The sequence below is a fragment of the Homo sapiens genome, chromosome 3, assembly GCF_000001405.40.
Source record: "Homo sapiens chromosome 3, GRCh38.p14 Primary Assembly".
In the NCBI taxonomy this organism is placed as follows: Eukaryota; Metazoa; Chordata; class Mammalia; order Primates; family Hominidae; genus Homo; species Homo sapiens.
Window position 1 is genome coordinate 136,737,758 of NC_000003.12, and position 22,206 is coordinate 136,759,963.

The 22,206-nt window shown below is 44.2% G+C and overlaps 1 protein-coding gene and 1 long non-coding RNA gene across 3 annotated transcripts in view, besides 6 other annotated features; one reads left to right on the forward strand and one right to left on the reverse strand.

The window, feature by feature from the left end:
* STAG1 (STAG1 cohesin complex component) overlaps positions 1-14,621 on the reverse strand; it is a 416,143-nt gene extending 401,522 nt beyond the window's left edge. For both annotated transcript variants that reach the window (XR_001739978.2, NM_005862.3), the window contains exon 1: positions 14,438-14,621. The gene's annotated coding sequence lies outside the window, so the exon portion shown is untranslated. The remainder of the gene's footprint in view (positions 1-14,437) is intronic.
* Positions 13,945-14,324: a silencer, noted in NCBI's record as "silent region_14758". NCBI's record gives its function as "represses an Ori minimal core promoter by ATAC-STARR-seq in GM12878 lymphoblastoid cells {active_cell/tissue: GM12878}" and the evidence as "EXISTENCE:reporter gene assay evidence [ECO:0000049][PMID:35858748]".
* Positions 13,945-15,929: a biological region, named in NCBI's record as "hESC enhancers GRCh37_chr3:136470665-136471596 and GRCh37_chr3:136471597-136472528".
* Positions 14,066-14,997: an enhancer, noted in NCBI's record as "H3K27ac hESC enhancer chr3:136470665-136471596 (GRCh37/hg19 assembly coordinates)". NCBI's record gives its function as "activates a minimal SCP1, AML or CMV promoter by ChIP-STARR-seq in primed H9 embryonic stem cells {active_cell/tissue: H9 hESC(primed)}" and the evidence as "EXISTENCE:reporter gene assay evidence [ECO:0000049][PMID:30033119]".
* Positions 14,645-14,874: a silencer, noted in NCBI's record as "silent region_14759". NCBI's record gives its function as "represses an Ori minimal core promoter by ATAC-STARR-seq in GM12878 lymphoblastoid cells {active_cell/tissue: GM12878}" and the evidence as "EXISTENCE:reporter gene assay evidence [ECO:0000049][PMID:35858748]".
* Positions 14,885-15,204: an enhancer, noted in NCBI's record as "active region_20587". NCBI's record gives its function as "activates an Ori minimal core promoter by ATAC-STARR-seq in GM12878 lymphoblastoid cells {active_cell/tissue: GM12878}" and the evidence as "EXISTENCE:reporter gene assay evidence [ECO:0000049][PMID:35858748]".
* On the forward strand, positions 14,914-18,083 carry STAG1-DT (STAG1 divergent transcript). Its single transcript, NR_185911.1, has one exon. It is a non-coding gene; the product is annotated as an STAG1 divergent transcript (long non-coding RNA).
* Positions 14,998-15,929: an enhancer, noted in NCBI's record as "H3K27ac-H3K4me1 hESC enhancer chr3:136471597-136472528 (GRCh37/hg19 assembly coordinates)". NCBI's record gives its function as "activates a minimal SCP1, AML or CMV promoter by ChIP-STARR-seq in primed H9 embryonic stem cells {active_cell/tissue: H9 hESC(primed)}" and the evidence as "EXISTENCE:reporter gene assay evidence [ECO:0000049][PMID:30033119]".
* Positions 18,084-22,206: the final 4,123 nt, after the last annotated feature.

Consider the following 22,206-nt stretch of genomic DNA (forward strand, 5'->3'; position numbering starts at 1 on the left):
CAATAAATGAGCACTTTAAAAATAGAATAAGGCCAGGCGCGGTGGCTCACGCCTGTAATCCCAACACTTTGGGAGGCCGAGGCGGGCGGATCTCAAGGTCAGGGGTTCAAGACCAGCCTGACTAACATGGTGAAACCCCGTCTCTACTAAAAATACAAAAATTAGCCGGGCATGGTGGTGTGCACTGGTAATCTCAGCTACTCAGGAGGCTGAGGCAGGAGAATCGCTGGAACCTAGGAGGTGGAGGTTGCAGTGAGCCGAGATTGTGCCATTGCAGTCCAGCCTAGGCGACACAGTGAGACTCTGTCTCAAAAAATAAATTAATTAATAAAATATAAAATACTAAAAAATGCTCAATTCATAGAAGCACAGAGAATAATGAATGGTGGTTACCAGGGATGGGAGCAGGGATGGGGATTAAGAAGACACTGATCAAACAGATACAAATTTTCACCAGGCCCAGTGGATCAGTCCTGTAATCCTAGCACTCTGGGAGGCCAAGGCGGGCAGATCACCTGAGGTCGGGAGTTCGAGACCAGCCTGGCCAACATGGTGAAACCCCATCTCTACTAAAAATACAAAAATTAGCAGGGCATGGTGGCACTCATCTGTAATCCCAGCTACTTAGGAGGCTGACGAAGTAGAAACGCTTGAACCCCGGAGGCACAGGCTACAGTGAGCCAAAATCGCACCACTGCCTTCCAGCCTGGGCGACAGAGCAAGACTCCATATCAAAAATAATAACTAGCTGGACACGGTGGCACGCGCCTGAGGTCCCAGCTACTTAGGAGGCTGAGGCATGAGAATCACTTGAACCCAGGAGGCAGAAGTTGCAGTGAGCCGAGATCGATCGTACCACTGCCATCCAGCCTAGGCAACAGAACAAGACTGCTTTCCTCCTCTCCCCCAAAAAAAGTATACAAATTTTCATTAGACAGGAGGAATAAGTTCAAGAGATCTATTGCACCACATGATAGCTATAGTTAATAGCAATGTATATTGGATACTTGAAAATGCTGAGAACAGATTTTAAGTGTTTTCACCACACCAAATAAATATGTGAAGAAAAGTATATATTAATTAATTAGCATGATTTAGCCATTCCATAATGTACACATATACCAAAGTTATTCACCATAAACATAATTTGTCCATTTAAAAATAAGTCAATTTTTCTAAAAATAAAAAAAAGACTCTAAACTGTATTCCCATCTTAAAAATGAGAAAATCGAGGACTCCAGAAAGTAATGTCCTACCCAAGATAATTATTACATAATGGAATAGGGAAGAAAATCAAATCTCCCTAAAATAAACTTCAAAATGCAAAGTATTTCAACATGCAGAAATGAGGCTGAGAGAAAAATGGCCTTTTAAGAAATTTAGAGACTGGGTTCTGAAACAGCCTAAGTTCAAATTCTGGCTCTATCATTTACTAGCTGTTTGGCCTTGGGACAATTAATTTCAAACACTACACACTGGGTGAGGCTCGGTGGCTCACAACTATAATCCCAGCATTTTGGGAAGCCAAGGCTGGGGGACTGTTGAGCCCAGGAGTTCAAGACCAACCTTGGCAACATGGTGAGACCCTGTCTCTACGAAAAAACGTATTTTAATTAGCTGGGCCTGGTGGCACACACCTGTGGTCCCAGGTACTCCCAGCTAGTTGGGAGGATGAGGTGAGAGGTTGAGGCTGCAGTGAGCCGTGATCACGTCACAGCACTCCAGCATGGGGCAACAGACTCCGTCAAAAAAAAAAAAAAAAGAAAAAAAAAAAAAGAAAGGCTAGGTGTGGTGGCTGACACCTGTAATCCCAGCACTTTTGGGAGGTCAAGGCAGAGGATTGCCTGAGGTCAGGAGTTCGAGACCAGCCTGGCCAACATAGTGAAACCCCATCTCTACTAAAAATACAAAAAAAAATTAGCCAGATGTGGTGGCAGGCACCTGTAGTCCCAGCTACTCGAGAGGCTGAGGCAGGAGAATCACTTGAACCTAGGAGGCAGAGGTTGCAGTGAGCCGAGATCGCGCCACTGCACTCCATCCTGGGCAACAAGAGCAAGACTTCATCTCAAAAAAAATAATAATTATATACATATATACACACACACACATACACACATATATATTACACAGGATACTGTGCCTTATAAACACTGCCACTTACTAAACCTTATGACGCCAACAATAAATGCAACGGGATAGATACAGAGGATAAAGATTGGCTGAAGTTATCTGTAAAGATTTCACACAGATTCCACATCTTACTCTGCGTTTGCTTTTTCTTTTCTTTGTGAACTATATCAATTATACAGTACATTATGTAAAATTCTAAATAACAGTTTAAAGAATTTTAAAGCACGGTGGCAGGCACCTGTAATCTCAGCTACTCGGGAGGCTGAGGCACAAGAATCGCTTGAGGCGGAGGTTTCAGTGAGCCAAGATCACACCACTGCACTCCAGCCCGGGCAACAAAGCGAGATTCCATCTCAAAAAAAAGAGAGAATTTTAACGCAAACACTCCATGTAATTATTACTAAGGTCAAGAAATAGACTACTACAAAAGCTTCTCCATAATATGTCCCTCCCTAATTACAAACTTGGGAAATTTAATCCAAGCCTCAGTTCCTCACCAGTAAAAGGGGGATAACACCAACATAACAATAACTACCCCACAGGGTTATTGTAAAATGTTTATTGGCATATAGTAAATGCTCAATGTTCTTTTTTGCTTTTGTTCTTTTTTTGAGACAGAGTCTCACTTTGTCACCCAGGCTGGAGTGTAGTGGCGCAATCTCAGCTCACTACAACCTTGACCTCCTGGGCTCAAACTATCCTCTGCCTCAGCCCCCCAAGTAGCTGGGACTACAGGTGCGCACTACCACACCTAACTAATTTTTTGTATTTTTTGTAGACACAGGGTTTCACTATGTTGCCCAGGCTTGTCTGAAACTCCTGAACTCAAGTGATCGCCCGCCCCAGCCTCCAAAAGGGCTAGGATTACAGGTGGAAGCCACTATGCCTAGCCAAGCGTTTTCTTACACACACACATATTCACCAGAACAAAGACGTGGGGAAAGACAGGATACGAGTATGTAATCTAATTTGGTGATAACATATAACCATAGAGAAGTACAATGAAGAGATAAAGCTGGAAAGCTAGGTTGTAGCCATGTAAGAAACAAAAGAAAAACTTAAGCAAATAACAAAAGGGAAACTGAGAAAATTCACTAGACAGTTTTGGAAGACAACTCTCCATGGAGTCTCTTGATTTTCTGCCTGTCTTGAGAAGAGAAGCACTGGAAGCCTTTGTTCCAATCTTTTCAGGATAGTTATATAGTGAAGGGTCCTGGAAGAAAGACATGTCCCAGAGCAAAAAGCGTATTTATGACCCATTATAAAAGATCTGAGTTTCTCTAAGCTTGGGATTTCACTACTTGTGCAGGTTTCACCTGGACCTCTTCCCAATGACCTATGCAAACTGGAGCTCAGAAATCTGATGCAAATGCTGACTGTCTGGCTACTGACACAGTGCATCGTTCTTCATCTATGACCAAGTCATTTCAATGACTTCTACCATAAGCCATTAAACTATGCCAAGTTAACTTGTCAGCCTATAAATAGGGTAAAACTTCAAACTCTTCATAGTTCTTGACAGACATTAGCATATGATCAATGATTATTATAACTGAAAGATTCCACTTCCATGTTGTTGGAAGGAATTTTTTTTTTTGGAGATGGAGTTTTGCTCTTGTTGCCCAGGCTGGAGTGCGATGTCGCGATCTCAGCTCACCACAACCTCCACCTCCCGGGTTCAAGCGATTCTCCTGCCTCAGCCTTTTAAGTAGCTGGGATTACAGGCGCCCACCACAATGCCCGGCTAATTTTGTATTTTTAGTAGAGATGGGGTTTCTCCACGTTGGTCACGCTGGTCTTGAACTCTTGACCTCAGATGATCCGCCTGCCTCGGCCTCCCAAAGTGCTGGGATTACAGGCATGAGTCACTGTGCCTGGCCAGGAATTTTTTAAAAAGCAATACTCGACTATATACTACCATCAAAAGCAATTTAAATATAATGAAGAGTTTTGGGTAAATAGGTAGAAAAAGATATATTATGGAAACAGTAAGCTCAAGATCGCTGGAGTGGCTATATTAACATCAAATAAAGCAGACTTCAAGGAAAAGATTATTACCAGAAACAGAGAGACATTTCATCACAATAAAAAGGTCAATTTGTCAAAACAACATAATAATCATAAGTTGTACATGTCTTACAACAGAGCTTCAAAATGAGTGAGAAAAACTTGACAGAATTAAGGGAAAAACAGATAATTCCACAGTCATAGTTGGATATTTTAACTTTCTTCTTGGCAGCTGATAGAATGAGACAAAACAACAACAACAAAAAACAACAACAAATACATAGATTATTTGAAAAGTGCTATTAAAACACCTTAACCTAATTGATAGTTACAGAATACTACACCCAACAACTGCAAAACACACTTTCAAGTATAAAAGATACATTAACCAAGATGGACCATATGCTGGCCCATAAAATAAGTTTCAATAAATTTTAAAGGATTAAAATCATAAAGATATGACTCAAAATGAAACTAAGTTAGAAATCAGTAATAAGTTATCTAGAATAATCCCAAATATTGAAAATTAAACAACAAGGCTGGGCACGGTGGCTCATGCCTATAATCTGAGCACTTTGGGAGGCTGAGGCAGGCGGATCCTTGAAGTCAGGAGTTCAAGACTAGCCTAGCTAACATGGCAAAACCCCGTCTCCACTAAAAAAATACAAAAATTAGCTGGGTGTGGTGGTGTGCGCCTGTAATCCCAGCTACTGTGGAGACTGAGACAGGAGAATCACCTGAACCTGGAAGGTGGAGGTTTCAGTGAGCAGAGATTGCGCCACTGCACTCCAGTCTGGGTGACAGAGCAAGACTCCATCTCAAAAAAAAAAAAAAGAAAAGAAAATTAAACCACACACTTCTAAGTAATCCATGGGTAAAAGAAGATATCACAAATTAAAAAGAATGTCAAGGTAAATTATAAACATAAAACACATCAAAGTCTGAGTAATGTAGCAGTGCTTAGAGAAAAATATATAGCTTTAAATGTATTTATTAGAAAACAAAAAGTGCCTAAAATCTATAACCTAAAATTTCACTTTAAAAGGCTGGAAAGAAAGCAAAGCAGAAGAAAATTTTAAAAAGCAGAAACCAATGAGATACTAAAGACAAATACTGACAATTACCTCAGTTGGTTATTTGAAAAAATAACCGATAAATCACTAGACTGGTCAAGATAAAAAGAACATACTGGCCAGATGCAGTGGCTCACGCCTGTAATCCTAACACTTTGGGAGGCCGAGAAGGGTGAACAGCTTGAGGCCAGGAATTCAAAACCAGTATGGCCAACATAGTGAAACCCTGTCTCTACTAAAAATACAAAAAATTAGTCAGGCGTAGTGGAGGGCACCTGTAATCCCAGCTACTCGGGAGGCTGAGGCAGGAGAATCAGTTGAACCCAGGAGGCGGAAGTTACAGTGAGCTAAGATTGCACCACTGCACTCCAGCCTGGGCAACAAGAATGAAACTCCTTCTCAAAAAAAAAAAATAATAATAACAATACCAGAAATTAAAGAAGAGATATCACTACAGATCCTACAGACATTAGAAGGATAGCAAGGAAATCTTACAAACTCCTGCCAATCAATTAAGTAAAATGAACCAATTTCCCTAAACTGATACAAGATGAAACAGACCAAAATTGACACAATATGAAACAGAAAATTTGAATAGCCCTATATCTAGTATAGAAACTAAATTTGATTTTGTTATCAAAACCATCCCAAAAAGAAAATTCCAAGTCCAGATGGCTTATCACTGGTACATTCTAAAATTCAAGGAAGAATAACACTATTACACAAACTATTTCAGTAAATACAGGGAACACGTCCCAACCTTTTTTATGAAGCCATCATAACCCAAATACCAAAACCTGACAAAGACATTACAATAAAACTATAAAGCAATATGCCTAGTGAAGAAATAGGCCAAAAATCCTATCAAAATAATAGTAAATACAAAAGGGATACATAATACACTGTGACCAAGTTGGCTTATCCCAGTAACCAAAATTATTTTAACTTTTGAAAACCATCATTAATTTAACCATTCTACCACTAAAGACATACGGTTTATTTCTGAATTTTGGCTACTGCAAATAAGGCTACTATGAACATTCTGTTCACACATCCTGGTACAAAAATACAAGGATTTTGGCTGGCCACGTGGCTCACGCCTGTAATCCCAGCACTTTGGGAGGCTGAGGCAGGCAGATCACCTGAAGTCAGGAGTTCTAGACCAGCCTGACCAACATAGAGAAACCCCGTCTCTACTAAAAATACAAAATTAGCCAGACATGGTGGTGCATCCCTGTAATTCCAGCTACTCGGGTGGCTGAGGCCGGAGAATTGCTTGAACTGGGGAAGCAGAGGATGCGGTAAGCCGAGATTGCACCATTGCACTCCAGCCTGGGCAACAAGGGCGAAACTCCGTCTCCAAAATAAAAATACAAGGATTTCATTCATCAGGAATATAAAGACAGGAGTACAACTGCTGGGGTTAAAATACATGAAGCTTGAATTTACTATCTTACTAACATCTTTCAGAAAATGATTGTATCAATTTACACTGCTGACAAAAGTGAGAATGTAATTTCTCTACATTCTCACCAATACTTGACATTATCAGACTTTTAATGCTTGTCAATCTGATGGAAGTGAAATGGTTTCTTCTCATGGCTCTACTTTGCACTTTCCTTTTTACCAATGAGATTACAATTCAATGCTTTTCCCAGTGTTAGCTGCTGTGAGTCGTGACATTTCTTAGGTAAACTGCAACCATCTTTTTTTTTTTTTTTTTTTTGAGACAGAGTCTCACTCTGTCACCTACGCTGGAATGCAGTGGTGCCATCTCAGCTCACTGCAACCTCCGCCTCCAGAGTTCAAGCAATTCTCGTGCCTCAGCCTCCCGAGCAGCTGGGACTACAGGCACATGCCACCACACCCAGCTAATTTTTGTATTTTTAGTAGAGACGGGGTTTCGCCATGTTGGCCACACTGGTCTCCAACTTCTGACCTCAAGTGATCCACCCGCCTCGGCCTCCCAGAGTGCTAGGATTATAGGTGTGGGCCACTGTGCCCAGCCACAACCAGCATTCCTAATAGAAAAGATCAGAAAATATCAGAGTGCACTGCATAAAGATAAAGTATTATTTCATGAAACTTATTTTCATTGTGTGTGGATGTGTGTGTTTGTACTAGGCTACAATGTAAAATGTTTTTGTAACTGCTAGCAGAAGCTAGAAAACAAGTTAAAAGCCATTGCTATTATGTTTACAGCAAAATTCCATTGAAATTCTTGGACAACTAAATGGTACATCATTTTGGCCCATAGCACAAAGGAATGTATTTCATAAAGAAGGTAAGACATTCTCACATAACCCATAAATACATACACCTACTATGGACTCACAAAATTAAAAATAAATAAAAAACAAACGGGGGGCAGGGAAGAAGGCAAGATTTATGACATCCTTCACTACTGACTGGCAAAAAGGAGTAGCCATCCCCAACGTTTTTGGTACCAGGGACCAGGTTCGTGGAAAAAAATTTTTCCACGGATGGGGTGGGGAATCAGAAGGTTTCAGGATAAAACTGTTCCACCTCAGATCATCATGCATTAGATAAAGCACGCAACGTACATCCCTTGTATGTGCAGTTCACAATAGAATTTGCACTCATATGACAATCTAATGCTCCCACTGATCTGACAGGAGGTGGATGGAGCACAGGTGATAAAGCTAGCTCACCTGCCTCTCACCTCCTGCTGTGCAGCCCAGTTTCTACCAGGCCAAAGACCAGTATGGGTCCACAGCCCAGTGGTTGGGGACCCTTGATTTAGAACACAGGTATCCAATCTTTTGGCTTCCCTGGGCCACATTGGAAGAAGAATTGCTGTAGGCCATACATAAAATACACTAATGATAGCTAATAAGGTAAAAAACAAACAAACAAAACAAACCTCATAATGTTTTTAAAAAGTTTATGAAATTTGTGTTGAGCCACATTCAAAGCCATTCTGGGCTGCATGCAGCCCATGGGCCACAGGTTGGACAAGCTTGATTTAGAAAAGGAGGAGAAAAATCTGAGGGAAGCAATAAGGGGTATGTTATATAAAGAAAAGATTCTATAAAACCAACTGAATTATAAGACACTTTCAGCACTAAAAGGCAGGAAGCTGACTGTCCCCTTAACCACCAAAATAACAGAAAACTTCCTACAGACACAATTCTAATTCCTTCAAGAATCACCTCATTCTGTGGCTTATGCAAGAATATCATTTTAGCTCTCTGCTTCCTAGTTTTTCCCTACCACTCTAGCAAGAATCATCTAAATTCTAAAGATTTATATTTTTATTCAGTCAACAAAAATTTACCAAGCCCCTATTATATCATTTCTGTGTTAAAATATATCTCCCTAGCAATTTTAATTCCCAGTTATATCCTTTAAAGCAAGGGTGTCCAATCTTTTAGCTTCCCTGGGCCACACTGGAAGAATTCTCTTGGGTCACCTGTAAAATAAACTAATTATAAATGATGAGCTAAAAAAAAAAACTCACAATGTTTTAAGAAAGTGTATAAAATTGTGTTGGGCCACGGGTTGGACAAGCTTGCTTTAAAGCTTGATTATCCTTGGCTAACCTGTCTTAATTGCCTCTTCATGAAAATATTTTGCTTCTTGGACTGCTAAACCGTATGCCATGACTAAACTTCTGCTGCCTTCTTTGTTCCACCAATAATACCCCTACTCTGAGACTTGCAAATAACTATTCTCTTCATAAGAATTCTCTCCTCAGTCGGGCGCAGTGGCTCACTTTGGGAGGCCAAGGCAAGCAGACTGCCTGAGGTCAGGAGTTCGAGACCAGCCTGGCCTTAGGCAGGTGCTGAAACCCCGTCTCTACTAAAAATACAAAAATTAGCCAGGCAGCCAGGCACAGTGCCTCAAGCCTGTAATCCCAGCACTTTCGGAGGCCGAGGCAGGCGGATCACCTGAGGTCAGGAGTTCGAGACCAGCCTGACCAACATGGAAAAACACTGTCTCTACTAAAAATACAAAATTAGTTGGGTGTGGTGGCACATGCCTGTAATCCCAGCTACTCAGGAGGCTGAGGCAGAAGAATAACTTGGATCCAGGAGGCAGAGGTTGCAGTGAGCCGAGATTGCACCACTGCACTCCAGCCTGGGCAACAAGAGTGAAACTGTCTAAAAAAAAAAAAAAAAAAAAAAAAAAAAAATTAGCCGGGCATGGTGGTGCGTGCCTGCATTCCCAGCTACTCAGGAGGCTGGGGCAGGAGAATCACTTGAACCTGGGAAGCGAAGGTTGCAGTAAGCGAAGATCATGCCACTGCACTCCAGCCTGGGCGACAGAGCAAGACTCGTCCCAAAAAAAAAAAAAAAAGAATTCTCTCCTCAAAAGCTGCTAGACCAATCACACCACAGCAACTGTCTGACGCAATGATTGTGTGACTCTGCCACTTAAGAGGAGTGTGATCCAAGGCATTTAAATTCCTTAACTTCGGCCACACACACTGGCTCACGCCTGTAATCCCAGCACCTTGGGAGGCCAAGGCGGGCTGATTACTTGAGGCCAGTAGTTTGAGACCAGCCTAGGCAACATGGCAAAATCTCATCTCTATACAAAATACAAAAATTAGCCGGGCGTAGTGGCATGCACCTGTAGTCCCAGCTACTCCAGGCCCCACCTGAGCCTGGGGAGGTTGAGGCTGCAGTGAGTGAACTGTGACTGCACAACTGCACTCCAGCCTGAGTGACAGAGAGAGACCCTGTCTCAAAAAATAAAAAATAAATTCCTTAACTTCTCTGAGATTCAATATCATATCAAAAACAGGTAAAACAAAAGGCATCAAAGAATGGCAAGAATTACGTAATTTTTTTTTTTTTTTTGAGACGGAGTCTCACTCTGTCACCCAGGCTGGAGTGCAGGTGGCACAATCTCGGCTCACTGCAAGCTCCGCCTCCCGGGTTCACACCATTCTCCTGCCTCAGCCTCCCCGGTAGCTAGGACTACAGGTGCCCGCCACCACACCCAGCTGATTTTTTCTATTTTTAGTAGAGACAGGGTTTCACCGTGTTGCCAGGATGGTCTCGATCTCCTGACCTCGTGATCCACCCACCTTGGCCTCCCAAAGTGCTGGGATTACAGGCGTGAGCCACCGCGCCTGGCCAAGAATTATGTAATTTTTAAAAAATAAAAATAACTGGCCGGGCACGGTGGCTCATGCCTGTAATCCCAGCACTTTGGGAGGCCAAGGTGGACAGACGGTTTCAGGTCAAGAGTTTCAGGTCAAGAGACCAGCCTGGCCAACAAGGTGAAACACTGTCTCTACCAAATATATAAAAAATTAGCTAGGTGTACTGGCACATGCCTACAGTCCCAGCTACTCGGGAGGCTGAGGCACGCGAATCGCCTGAACCCAGGCGGTGGAGGTTGCAGTGAGCCTAGATCATGCCATTGCACTCTGGTCGGGGCACACTCAAAAAATAATAAATTTTTTTTTTTTTCCTGAGACGGGGTCTCACTCTGTCACCCAGGCTGGAGTGCAGTGGCGTGATCCCAGCTCACTGCAAGCTCCGCCTCCCAGGTTCAAGCAATTCTCCTGCCTCGGCCTCCTGAGTAGTAGGATTACAGGCAAGTGCTACCACGCCTGGCTAATTTTTGTATTTTTAGTATAGACAGGGTTTCACCATGTCGGCCACGGCCAAGCTGGTCTGAAACTCCTGACCTCAGGTGATCCACCCACCTCGGCCTCCCAAAGTGCTGGGATTACAGGTGTCAGCCACTGTACCAGGCCAATAATAGTAATTTTTTTAAATTTTTTAAAAAGGTGTTCTTAGTGGCAGAAATGAAAGAAAAAATAATTATACAAACTCCCTTCTCCCATTGCCTCCCTTCTTTATAACGTTTTAAATTTTCGTTTTTATTTTTAATTTCCTCTCAATGCAATAAAATTATTTCATAGAGGAAGGCATGTAAACTAAGGTACCAGGAAACGGGAAAGGAAAAAAGGTGAGGAAAAGGCAATATAAGTAAGAGTAAGCTGATCAAGTGGGGTTACTGCTCTGCCTAGGTCCTCTCCTTGTATGTCCGGAATCTGAAGAGGTAAATGTGAAGATACTTCTTTTCCTACGGCAGGCAAAATTCTTAAAAGCCTCCACTAACCCACACCCTTGTATCATGCCCTCCCCTTGAGTGTGGGAGAGACCTGTAGATATAACGGGATATCATTACGGTGATTATATGACAAAATATATGTTTGCATATGTAATTAAGGCCCTTAATCAGTTAAGTTTACCACAAGGGCCTCAGAGCTTAGCTGGTGAGCTTTTAAAAAAGACCTTAAAGGGGGGAGTCAGAGGTCAGACACACAGGAAATAGGGAGACTGACTCCTGCTAGCATGGATAAAAGCTAACAGCCATGTTGTGAACTATGTGGCCACACGGCAAGGATCTGAGAGCAGTCCTTGGCCAACAGCTAACAAGAAGATGGGGACTTCAGTCACACTATCACAAGGAAATTAATTGTGCCAACAAGTAGTGACCTTGAAAGACAACTCTGGCCGGGCACAGTGGCTCACAACTGTAATCCCAGCATTTTGGTAGGCTGAGGTGGGCAGATCACGAGGTGAAGAGATGGAGACCATCCTGGCCAACGTGGTGAAACCCCGTCTCCACTAAAAATATAAAAATTAGGTGGGCATGGTGGCACGCACTTGTAGACCCAGCTACTTGCGAGGCTGAGGCAGGAGAATCGCTTGAACCCAGGAGGCGGAGGTTGCAGTGAGCCGAGATCACACCACTGCACTCCAGCCTGGTGACAGAATGAGACTCCATCTCAAAAAAAAAAAAAAAGAAAAACAACTCTAAGCCTCAGATATGCACTGCAATCACAGCTGACACCCTGATTTTAGCCTGAGATGCTCAGCTATACCTCCCCAAACTTCTGACCTATGGAAGCTGAAATAATTGTTAATCTGTTAAGTGTGAAATTTGTTATGCATTAAAAAAAAAAAGAAAGAAACTAATATACCCCCCTAAATAAAGATATAAAGATACAGGACAAAACAACAAATAAAAGGGGAAACAAGAACGTATCTTTCCCAGAGTACATTATTTCTTCTCACAGCACTGAGATTATGAACATACACAGAGTCAGAATCAAGGAAAAAAAGATTAAAACTGTACAAAATTCTGTAAATTTTAAGTTACAGCAATTAAATGTGTGTTTTTCACAGACATCTTGTTACACAATCACCGTAAGATACTATCCCCATTTTATTTTATTTTTTTAAAGAGATGGAGTCTTGTATGTTGCCCAGGTAAGCCTCAAACTCCTGGGTTTAAGGGTTCCTCCTGCCTCACTACAGAGTAGCTGGAACTACAGGAGTGCACCACTGGGCCCAGCTCCCCATTTTTAGAGATAAAGAAAGTAAGGCTCAAAGGTAACACCCTGAACACCACAAACCCAGGGGACGTTCAAAGTAACTTCGGTCCAGGACCCACTCCTTCTCCCCTACACCATAGTGCCTTTAAGGCTTTAAAAGAGCCAATCAAATCTACAGTCATTTTATTAGTCTCTTCAAAGGAGGCAATCCTAGTAACACAACAAACTTCCATATTTTGCATCTATTTAAATATTCCTTAGCCTTATCAGAACATCGAAACTGAAGTGGATACAGAAAAATTTCCACTCAAAAGCAGTTCGTTTGTGAAAATGACCACTGGTAGATCACTTGAATTAATTTAGTTTACTCGAAGTACGTTTTAAATATGTAAAGGAAAATGCGTGGCAAAACACCTGTAGATCTTCTACAACTTTATTTGGGTAACAATTTGTCTTATAAGTATTCTTAATCATCAAAAGCAAGGAAATAACATTTCTGCTTCTTTCCATTCCATATTTCCCTACTTGGTTAAAATTTTTCAGTCTGAATTCCTCATACATTATGAATATTAGAACAAGGTACGTTACATTACCATACAATAAACAAGTTATTTTTATTTTCACTCTTCTGTATATTTCCCTAAGTGCTTCACCATCGGAATGTGCAATTTTCTTAAAACACGAGGAAAACTAAAATGTAGAGTCATTCAAATTCCAGATAAGTTACAAATCACACAACTTTGTGCCAATTCAGATACTTTCTCAAGTAAACACTATTTTTGCGAAGATGCAAGTCTTTCTAGTCAGAATCACGAGAATAAACTCTATCCATCTTAACACCAACTTTAACAGCAAATAATTTTTTTTTATGACAAATTGCGTTTTTTTTTTTTGTTTTTTTTTTGTCTGTAAGTGTCCAAAACTATCCTATGACTTATACTCCCGGAGCACGATTCCCTGCAATGTGAAGAGAATCGACAGATAACATTTCAAATGTGGGTAGATGGGGGTGACGTGACAATCCTAAAACCTGAAAATTTCTTAGTACCCATACCATACAAGAAGAACCCAGTTCGGACCCTGCAAACGGGGCTCAGGTCCAACTCCAAGCACTCTAGTTTCCCACCCCGCCCCCACCTCGAGAAAGGAGGGAAAACAACTTTTATTGGCCTCGTCTCTCAGGGGACTGGCAAACTAGCGGGGCAGTGCTTAGGCCTGGACACGTTTCACAAGGAGGCCCCCGTCGGGGGCTGAGAGGGCAGATAGCTGGAAAGCCCAGCATTGATGCATCTCCCCCAGCCGCCACCCCGCTGCCCCACCCCGCCAACAAGAAGCCTGGGCCAGCCGCCCCGCCGAGCGACCCCCCAGGCCCCTCCGCTGAAATGAACTCGTTGTCATGTGACGCCGCCGCCGCTAAAACACCGCAGAAACGCAGGTCGGCAGGCGGCGGAAGGCATTCGCGCCAGCCCGCGTCGGCCCGGCCCCGCTGGGCGCGGGCGACTCCCGAGAGCCCGGGCGGGGGGGGGCGGAGGGCGGGCTTGGCGGCGGGCCCGAGCGCGCCACAAAGGCTTCCGCGCCTGTCGCCGTAGTGCCCGGGCGGGCGGGGGCAAAATTTTTGGTGCCCGCGGGAGGGGTGGCAAGCGACGAAGACGCCGGGGTGCCCACCGCGCCCACAGACGTCTCTCCGGGCACTCGGACGGCCCACGACCGCCGCACCCCGCACAGGCCCGCGCGGCCTCCCTCCCCCGCACGGGGCCCGCGCCCGGCCCGCCCGCTCGCCGCTCGCGCTCTCTCGCTCTCGCCCGGCCTCCATCTTGGATCGGCGCTTCCAGCCCCCGCGCCGCTGCCGCCGCATTCCCCCTCTTTCCCGCCCCCCGCCGCCGTCGCCGCCGCCCGCACTCACCTCAGCTGCCCATCCGGGCGCCGCCGACCATCGACCTAGTTTCCCCCCAAAAGTCTCCGGTGTGTTATTCCCGATGTGGGGGGGTTGTTACGGGGTGGTCGCCGGGGGTTCGGGAGCGGGGGCCGCGCCTTCAACGGAGCTGCAATCCTAACCCGCCATCTGGTGGCATTTTCCACACGCCAATGGCGCCGCTGCAGACTTGGGTCCGGACCGCCCTCTGCTGGCCGCGGTGCTCACTGCCTTGCTGACGGGACGGGCCTGCCCGGAAAGGGGAGGGAGCTGAGGCGCGAGCTAGGGGCCGCGGCAGGGGCGCGCGCAAACGCTTTCCAGTGGGGATTGCGCGCACGCGCACCAGCGGGGCGGGAAACGTGGCCGCTGCGTGGCGGCCCCGCCCCCACACGGAGCGCTCGCGCAGTTCAGCCAATCGCGAGAGGCGTAGGCTTCTGGATAAGGGCGCTGTGGACGGTTCTTGGGCCGCCCGCGGCTGGCGGAAGGACGGCCACGGTGGCGCCTGCGCGTCCGGCTCGCCGAGTTGCCGCCCGCCATTTTTGGAGCTTCTTGGAGATCTAGGCAGGAACCCGCCCCGGGTTCCTTCACCGAGGCTCCTCCCTAGGTCTCAGGGCCGGCGCTTTCCTCTGTTCCCGCCCGGCTCCTGCTGCCCCCATCCGCAGCTCTCGAGACGCCCTGCGGAAACCCGAGGGTGAGGCCGCGCAGATCCCTGCTCCTACTTGGATTTAGCAAGGGCCTCAGAGCTTAGCATTGTATTCGCGATTTACGGCTGACAAGCGCTTTCACCAGGCAAGAGTGAAAAGGTTTCAAAAGGACTATTGGGGACTTCCCTCGCCATTAATCTAGACGAAACACCGCCGGCCCTAGGCCGATTGGCGTCATCCTGCCTCTGTAAAGCACATCTTTCCGTGGTGTCGGCTTTGCATAAGGCGGCAGCATTGGCTAGTTTGTGAGAGGAGAATATAACTAGACTGAGAAGATAGACTCAGCTGTGAAAGTGGATTTCTCCCTCCACAACCTAGGACTACTTTCAGTAGCTCTGAAATACACATGAGAATCTTAGCCTTCTAGATGCCAAAAGAGAAATAATCAGTAAGGTGAAATCATTAACAAACTATTTATGTTTAACGTCGCCTCTTCCCTGATCTCCACCTGCCCGTCCGTGGCCATGGATCCCTACCTTTCACCTGCTTACAACTTTTCACCACAAAAGTGAATCCTTACTCTCCTGGATCATTAGCCCCATATATGACTAACTTCTCTATCGCTATAGCCAACTCTATTTCAGTATGGAATCGCTCAACTACTTTATAGTCTTAAGGGCCTGTCTCCAGTAGGTTACCCCTATTTGTGTTTTCTCTCTCAAGGGTTTGCAAGATGTGTGGCTTTTCGCTGGAGGAAGTCATAACTGACCAGATTGGATATGAATTCGTGACTGGACTCCTACTTATAATTTTCTTGCGTTTTCTTCTAATCTCTGGCTGATCTCCTATTTTCCACAAAGACTGTTTCAAGCTTTCCATGTTGTTAAAGATGCCAGTCCCAGTCCATACTAATAGATAAATTCATCCAGTTTCCTGGGCTCAGAGCTATGGGACTCCAATTCCGGTTTGACCTTGCCTCCATTATAAAATATCTGTGACCACCTCCTGTTCGTGATCCCAAAACTTCTAACCAAATTAACCCAGAACCCTTCTCTCCAAAGCCACTCCCTCTGCCTGAAACTATGCCATCCCTTCCCACCTTCTCCTTCCACCACTACTTTCCTAGCGCCTTATAATGTAAATATGTTCTTATCCACTGTCTTCTTCCTTTCTGTTTCTCAGAAGTTTCTGTTGTCTTGGCTGGGTGCGGTGGCTCACACCTGTAATACCAGCACGTTGTGAGGCAGAGGCGGGCAGATAACATGAGGTCAGGAGTTCGAGACTACCCTGGCCAACATGGTGAAACCCTGTCTCTACTAAAAATACAAACAGCCAGGCGTGCTGGTGTGCGCCTGTAATGCCAGCTACTCGGGAGGCTGAGGCAGGAGAATCTCTCGAACCCGGGAGGTGAAGGTTGCAGTGAGCCGAGATCACGCCACTGCACTCCAGCTTGGGCGATAAGAGTGAGACTCTGTCTCAAAAAAAAAAAGTTTCTTTTGTCTTTTTTTTTTTTTTAATTCAGTGATGTTACTCCCTCCAGTTGCTATGCTATCAACGTTCCTTTCATTGACACATTCTCAAAAGAAACAGTTACGGTTTTCACCAATCCCCATCCCCTACTTGAAACCCTTTTTCCCTTTCTTTTAAGACACTTCCCCGGATCTACACCTACCTAGTTTGCTGGTCTTCTGATTTCTTTGCTAGCACCTCCTCTTTCTTCAATCTGTTCTCTACTACATGCCTTCTCTTAGGTCTCCCAAAATTAGTCTGTTCTTGATTTTTCCTTAACTGAGTTTCCTCGTGTTCAGCTACTTGCCAGAAAGCTGCAGCTCAAACACTTAAAATAATTCATCTCTCTTATTTGAATTTCCTAATTTATCCTAACATTGTAATTTCAGCTAGTGTAGTGATTAAGAACATGAACTGTGAAACCAGACTGCTCTGGAAAGCTTTGTAACCTTAGACAAATCTCTTTCTGTCTCAATTTCCTCAACTGCAAAATGGAAATAGCAACAGTACCAATCTCATAGGGTTGTTACGAGTGTTAAACTATTTAACTATTTAATATTTAAACTATTTAATATATTATAGAAATGCCATCAGCATTATTACATTTATTGTTTTTAATCTTACTAAGAAGTTTTTAGCATTTTTTTAACTCTGAGGGCATGGGTAATCAACTTTCTAAGTTTATAGAAATCTAAAATTGTATTTTGCCCTCACACTTAATAATTGATTATAAGTCATTTTTATAATCAATTTTATAAATTGTTTATAAATAATTACATAGCAGCCTAGGCTCTAAATTGTAGGGCCAGACTTGATTATTTTCTTTCAAAAAAGCCTAAGTCCCACCATACCTCATTCAGATGGCTTGCTTTTTTTTCTACTGCTGCCATCCTTATTCAAACCCTTCTCCCCTCCCATTGCCTTACACCAAAACTATTGCACTAGCCTTGTAAACACCTCTCCCTTCATTCACCTCCCTTTTGTTTGTGTTTGTTTGTTTGTTTTTGAGACAGGGTCTTGCCGTGTTGCCCAGGCTGGAGGGCAGTGGTGCAGTCATAGCTCACTGCAACCTCTGACTTGGGCTCAAGTGATTCTCACACCTCAGCCTTGCTAGGTCCAGAAGTAGGTGCCATTGACCCACCTTCCCTCTACTCCCCACTCCTGCTTCACTTCTCTTTTTAAAATGCAACATTGTTATACCTACACAAAAGCGTTCTGTGATTCCTATGGCTTAAAAGATATCATCTAAAATAGTTAATGACATTCAAGGCATGCCTTGATATTTTTTCATTTTTTTCTCTATTTCATTAGAAATTATTCACACTAGCTGACCTGTCTGATTAATCATAAATGTAAGTGAAGGGCAGATTTATTCATCCTTTACCTATCTGGTAAGATAAAGTAATAAAGGTCCCATAACATGTTGACTTTGTTACAGAATTACACATAAAAGCAGAGGCTGCTTTTAAGAAATTCTTCCCCACCCCCACCCTCCCTGGACAGAGTTTTGATCTTGTTGCCCAGGCTGGAGTGCAATGGCGCGATCTTGGCTCACCGCGGCCTCCAGGTTCAAGCGATTCTCCTGCCTCAGGCTCCAGACTAGCTGGGATTACAGGCATACTCCACCACGCCCAACTAATTTTATATTTTTAGTAGAGACGGGGTTTCACCACGTTGCCCGGGCTGGTCTCAACTCCCGACCTCAGGTGATCAGCCCACCTCGGCCTCCCAAAGTGCTGGGATCACAGGCGTGAGCCACTGCGCCTGGCCAATGAAATTCTTAATCAAGATTCCAATTCTCTTGGCAAGGATTTTCAAACATCACAATTTTTATTAACAGCTTCAAGTCATACATATGATCAAAATATTATTGAGGCACAGTAAAACGATTCCCCAAAATACAGCACTTCAGCATGCTCAATGCTTTGAAAATTGAACGGCCTCAGAACCAAGGTCTGTCTCTTACCTTTCCCTGTCTCCCTGATCCTCTTTCCCGAAGCACCAAGGGTACACTCTCTTTGGAATTTCCTTATCTGACCAAGAAAGCTTTTTTCCAAAAGAAAGGCAATGTTGGCAGGGCAGGGCATGGTGGCTCATGCCTGTAATCCTAGCATTTTGGGAGGCCGAGGCAGATGGATCACCCGGGGTCAGGAGTTTGAGACCTGCCTGGCCAACATGGTGAAACCCTGTTTCTACTAAAAAAACAAAAATTAGTTGAGCATGGTGGCGCATGCGTGTAGTCCCAGCTACTGGGGAGGCTGAGGCAGGGGAATAGCTTGAACCTGGGAGGCGGAGGTTGCAGTGAGCTGAGATTGCACCACTGTACTGCAGCCTGGGTGACAGAACGAGACTCTGTCTAAAAAAAAAAACAAATAAATAAAAAGAAGAAATGCAATGTTGTAAAACTCCCTCCCTAGTAATCTCATCAAACAACCAGGAAATATCAACCACTAGAGAATAGATTGACAGTCACTATGACCTGACAGACTTTTCATCTGTTCTTCTGAGGGCAGCCCCAAGGGATTACCTGGAGGACTTTCTCTGCATAATAAGACAATCTTTGTTCCTGTGCAGCTCTACACCTCACCTTCCCATTAATGTCTGCCTTCCACCTCCAAGGTCCATTTGTTCTCCCTAATGACTTGCTGTCACTCAAAAGAATTTCTACATTCTCCATCTCCCCCTTCCCTTATGAAAAAGGGTATATAAGTTTCTTTACCACACTAAATAATAGGTAATCACTCTGGATTATTCACACACACACGTTAATTTAAAAAGTTTGGTGTTTCTGAAACAGGATCTCACTCTGCCACCCAGACTAGAGTACAGTGGCACTATCACAGCTCACTGAAGCCTAAAAGTCCTGGGCTCAAGCGATCCGCCTCAGCTTCCCAAGTAGCTGGGACTACAGGCACACACCACCATGCCCACTAACTAAAAAAAAAAAAAATCTTTGTAGAGATGAGGTCTCACTGTGTTGTCCATGCTGGTCTCAAACTCCTGGACTCAAGCAATTCTCCCTAACTTGGCCTCCCAAGATGCTGAGATTACAGGTGTGAGCCACTGCGCCCAGCCTAATGTGACTGTCGTCAGTTAATTTTTCAGCAAACCTTCAGCAGAGGGAAAACTTCCCTTTGTTATTACATATAAAAGTTTTCCCTTCACCCCTACGATATGAAAAATAATGTAATTCTTCAGACACATGCCCATCAGAACTTTAATTCAACTCAATCTCTTAGCCAACCTGGTCCAAAAGTAGATATTTAATGTTATAAATAGAAAAAAAAATGCATTCTATAGCCTATGAAATGGGAAGACATTGAACAGGGGTTGCAATAGTTTAAAAGATTTTTATATAGTGTTGTTTTACTGGGAGCTTTAGATTGCTTTTCTTGTTTTCCTTGCAAATATACCAAATTGTGTTTCTGAAAATGCATTAGTTCTAATTAACATTTATTAACCAATAACATGAAGAACTTTGCTTTATAACCCAAAGAATGAGTTTCTGATTGTGTAGATTGCACAGTTTCTTTAAAATTTGGGCCAGACTTATGTCTTTTTCTCTCTGGATAATTTTAGCACACAAAAGATTTCAGTTATTCTATTGGCCTTACAGTTAGAGTAAGACACATTAAATCAACTTTTTTTGCGTGAGGATAATGGTGATATTTCTTACACAGAAAGGATTTTTAAAGTAAAATTTGGGCCGGGCGCGGTGGCTCATGCCTGTAATCCCAGCACTTTGGGAGGGCAAGGTGGGCAGATCACTTGAGGCCAGGAGTTTGAGACCAGCCTGGCCAACATGGTGAAACCCCATCTCTACTAAAACACAAAAATTAGCCGGGCGTGGTGGCGCACACCTGTAATCCCAGCTACTCGAGGGGCTGAGGCAGGTGGCAAGAGAATCGGTTAAACCCATGAGGCAGAGATTGCAGTGAGCCAAGATTGCGCCACTGCATTCCAGCCTGGCTGACAGAGTGAGACTCCGTCTCAAAAAAAAAAAGAAAAGTAAAATTTGATTCGTCATTCTTCCCTTTCCTTCCCCTTTTTCAGAGTTCCAAGTGCAACTGCTCGATATCTAGAGCAAAGAGAGGTCTTCTGATCAAGCTTCCTCACCCTTCATTTTTACCACCTCCACAAACCCTGTGTTTCAGGGATCATGACCACTGTCTCATCTTAATCTCCCCCAAATCAAGTATTCCTTTGCATTTTTCACTTGGTCACAAGGCATTTGTTCTTTCTTACGTTGGTAGACCTTTGCAATTATCAGAAATAATTTTCCCTTCTTTTCTACTCTTGCAATTAAGGTGTGCTGCCAATTGGTGGCAGTAATATGCCATGGTGTCCTCCCTACTGGATTTAAACCATTATTTTTCCTTTTTTTTTTTAATTTTTTTTCTTTTTGGAGACAGAGTCTCACTCTATTGCCCATGCTGGAGTGCAATGGCGCGATCTCAGCAAACTGCAACCTCCGCCTCCTGGGTTCAAGCAGTTCTCCTGCTTCAGCCTCCCGAATAGCTGAGATTACAGGTGACTGCCACCATGCCCGGCTAATTTTTGTATTTTTAGTAGAGACAGGGCTTCACCATGTTGGCCAGGCTGGTCTCAAACTCCTGACCTTAGGTGATCCGCCTGCCTCGGCCTCCCAAAGTGCTTGAATTACAGGCGTGAGCCACCGCGCCCAGCCTAAAAACACTATTCTTTCTACAACTGAGCAAGCAGCCAGGCCCAGTGACTCACACCTGTAATCACAGCACTTTAGGAGGTTGAGGCAGTCAGATCTTTTGAGGCCAGAAGTTCAAGACCAATCTGGGCAACATAGGGAGACCCCATCTGTATAAAAAATAAAAAATTAGCTGGGCAGGATGGCGCACACCTGTAGTCCCAGCTACTTGTGAGACTGAGATGGGAGGATCACTTAAGTGAGCCATGATCATGCCACTGCACTCCAGCCTGGGTGACACAGCAAGACCCTTTCTCAGATAGGCAGACAGACAGATGTATAACTAAATCAATAAATTCTGCCCCGTTCTTGGTAATAAGATGGTAAGAGGGATCCAGAATACCTTCCCTTTCAGAATCAGTAACCTGGTTATAGGCAAAACTCTATTCTCAAAAAGCAGAGGATCGGAATTGCTCAGATATTTTTTTAAAAAGAAATTTTGGCCAGGCGCGGTGGCTCACGCCTGTAATCCTTACCCAGAACTTTGAGAGGCCAAGGCGGTGCGGATCACAAGGTCAGGAGATCGAGACCGTCCTGGCTAACACGGTGAAACCCCGTCTCCACTAAAAATACAAAAAATTAGCTGGGCGTGGTGGCAGGCTCCTGTAGTCCCAAATACTTGGGAGGCTGAGGCAGGAGAATGGTGTGAACCCGGGAGGCGGAGCTTGCAGTGAGCCGAGATCATGCCACTGCACTCCGGGCTGGGTGACAGAGCGAGACTCCATCTCAAAAAAAAAAAAAAAAAAAACTCACAGGCAGAGGGCTGGAACTAGTGTGGGTAGGAGCTAAGAGTTATTATTATTTAGAGACTCAAGTGCCAGTAGAACAACCGTTTTCTTAGTCCAAGTTTCTTGATGTCCTTGGGATTCCACTTTATGGCTTAT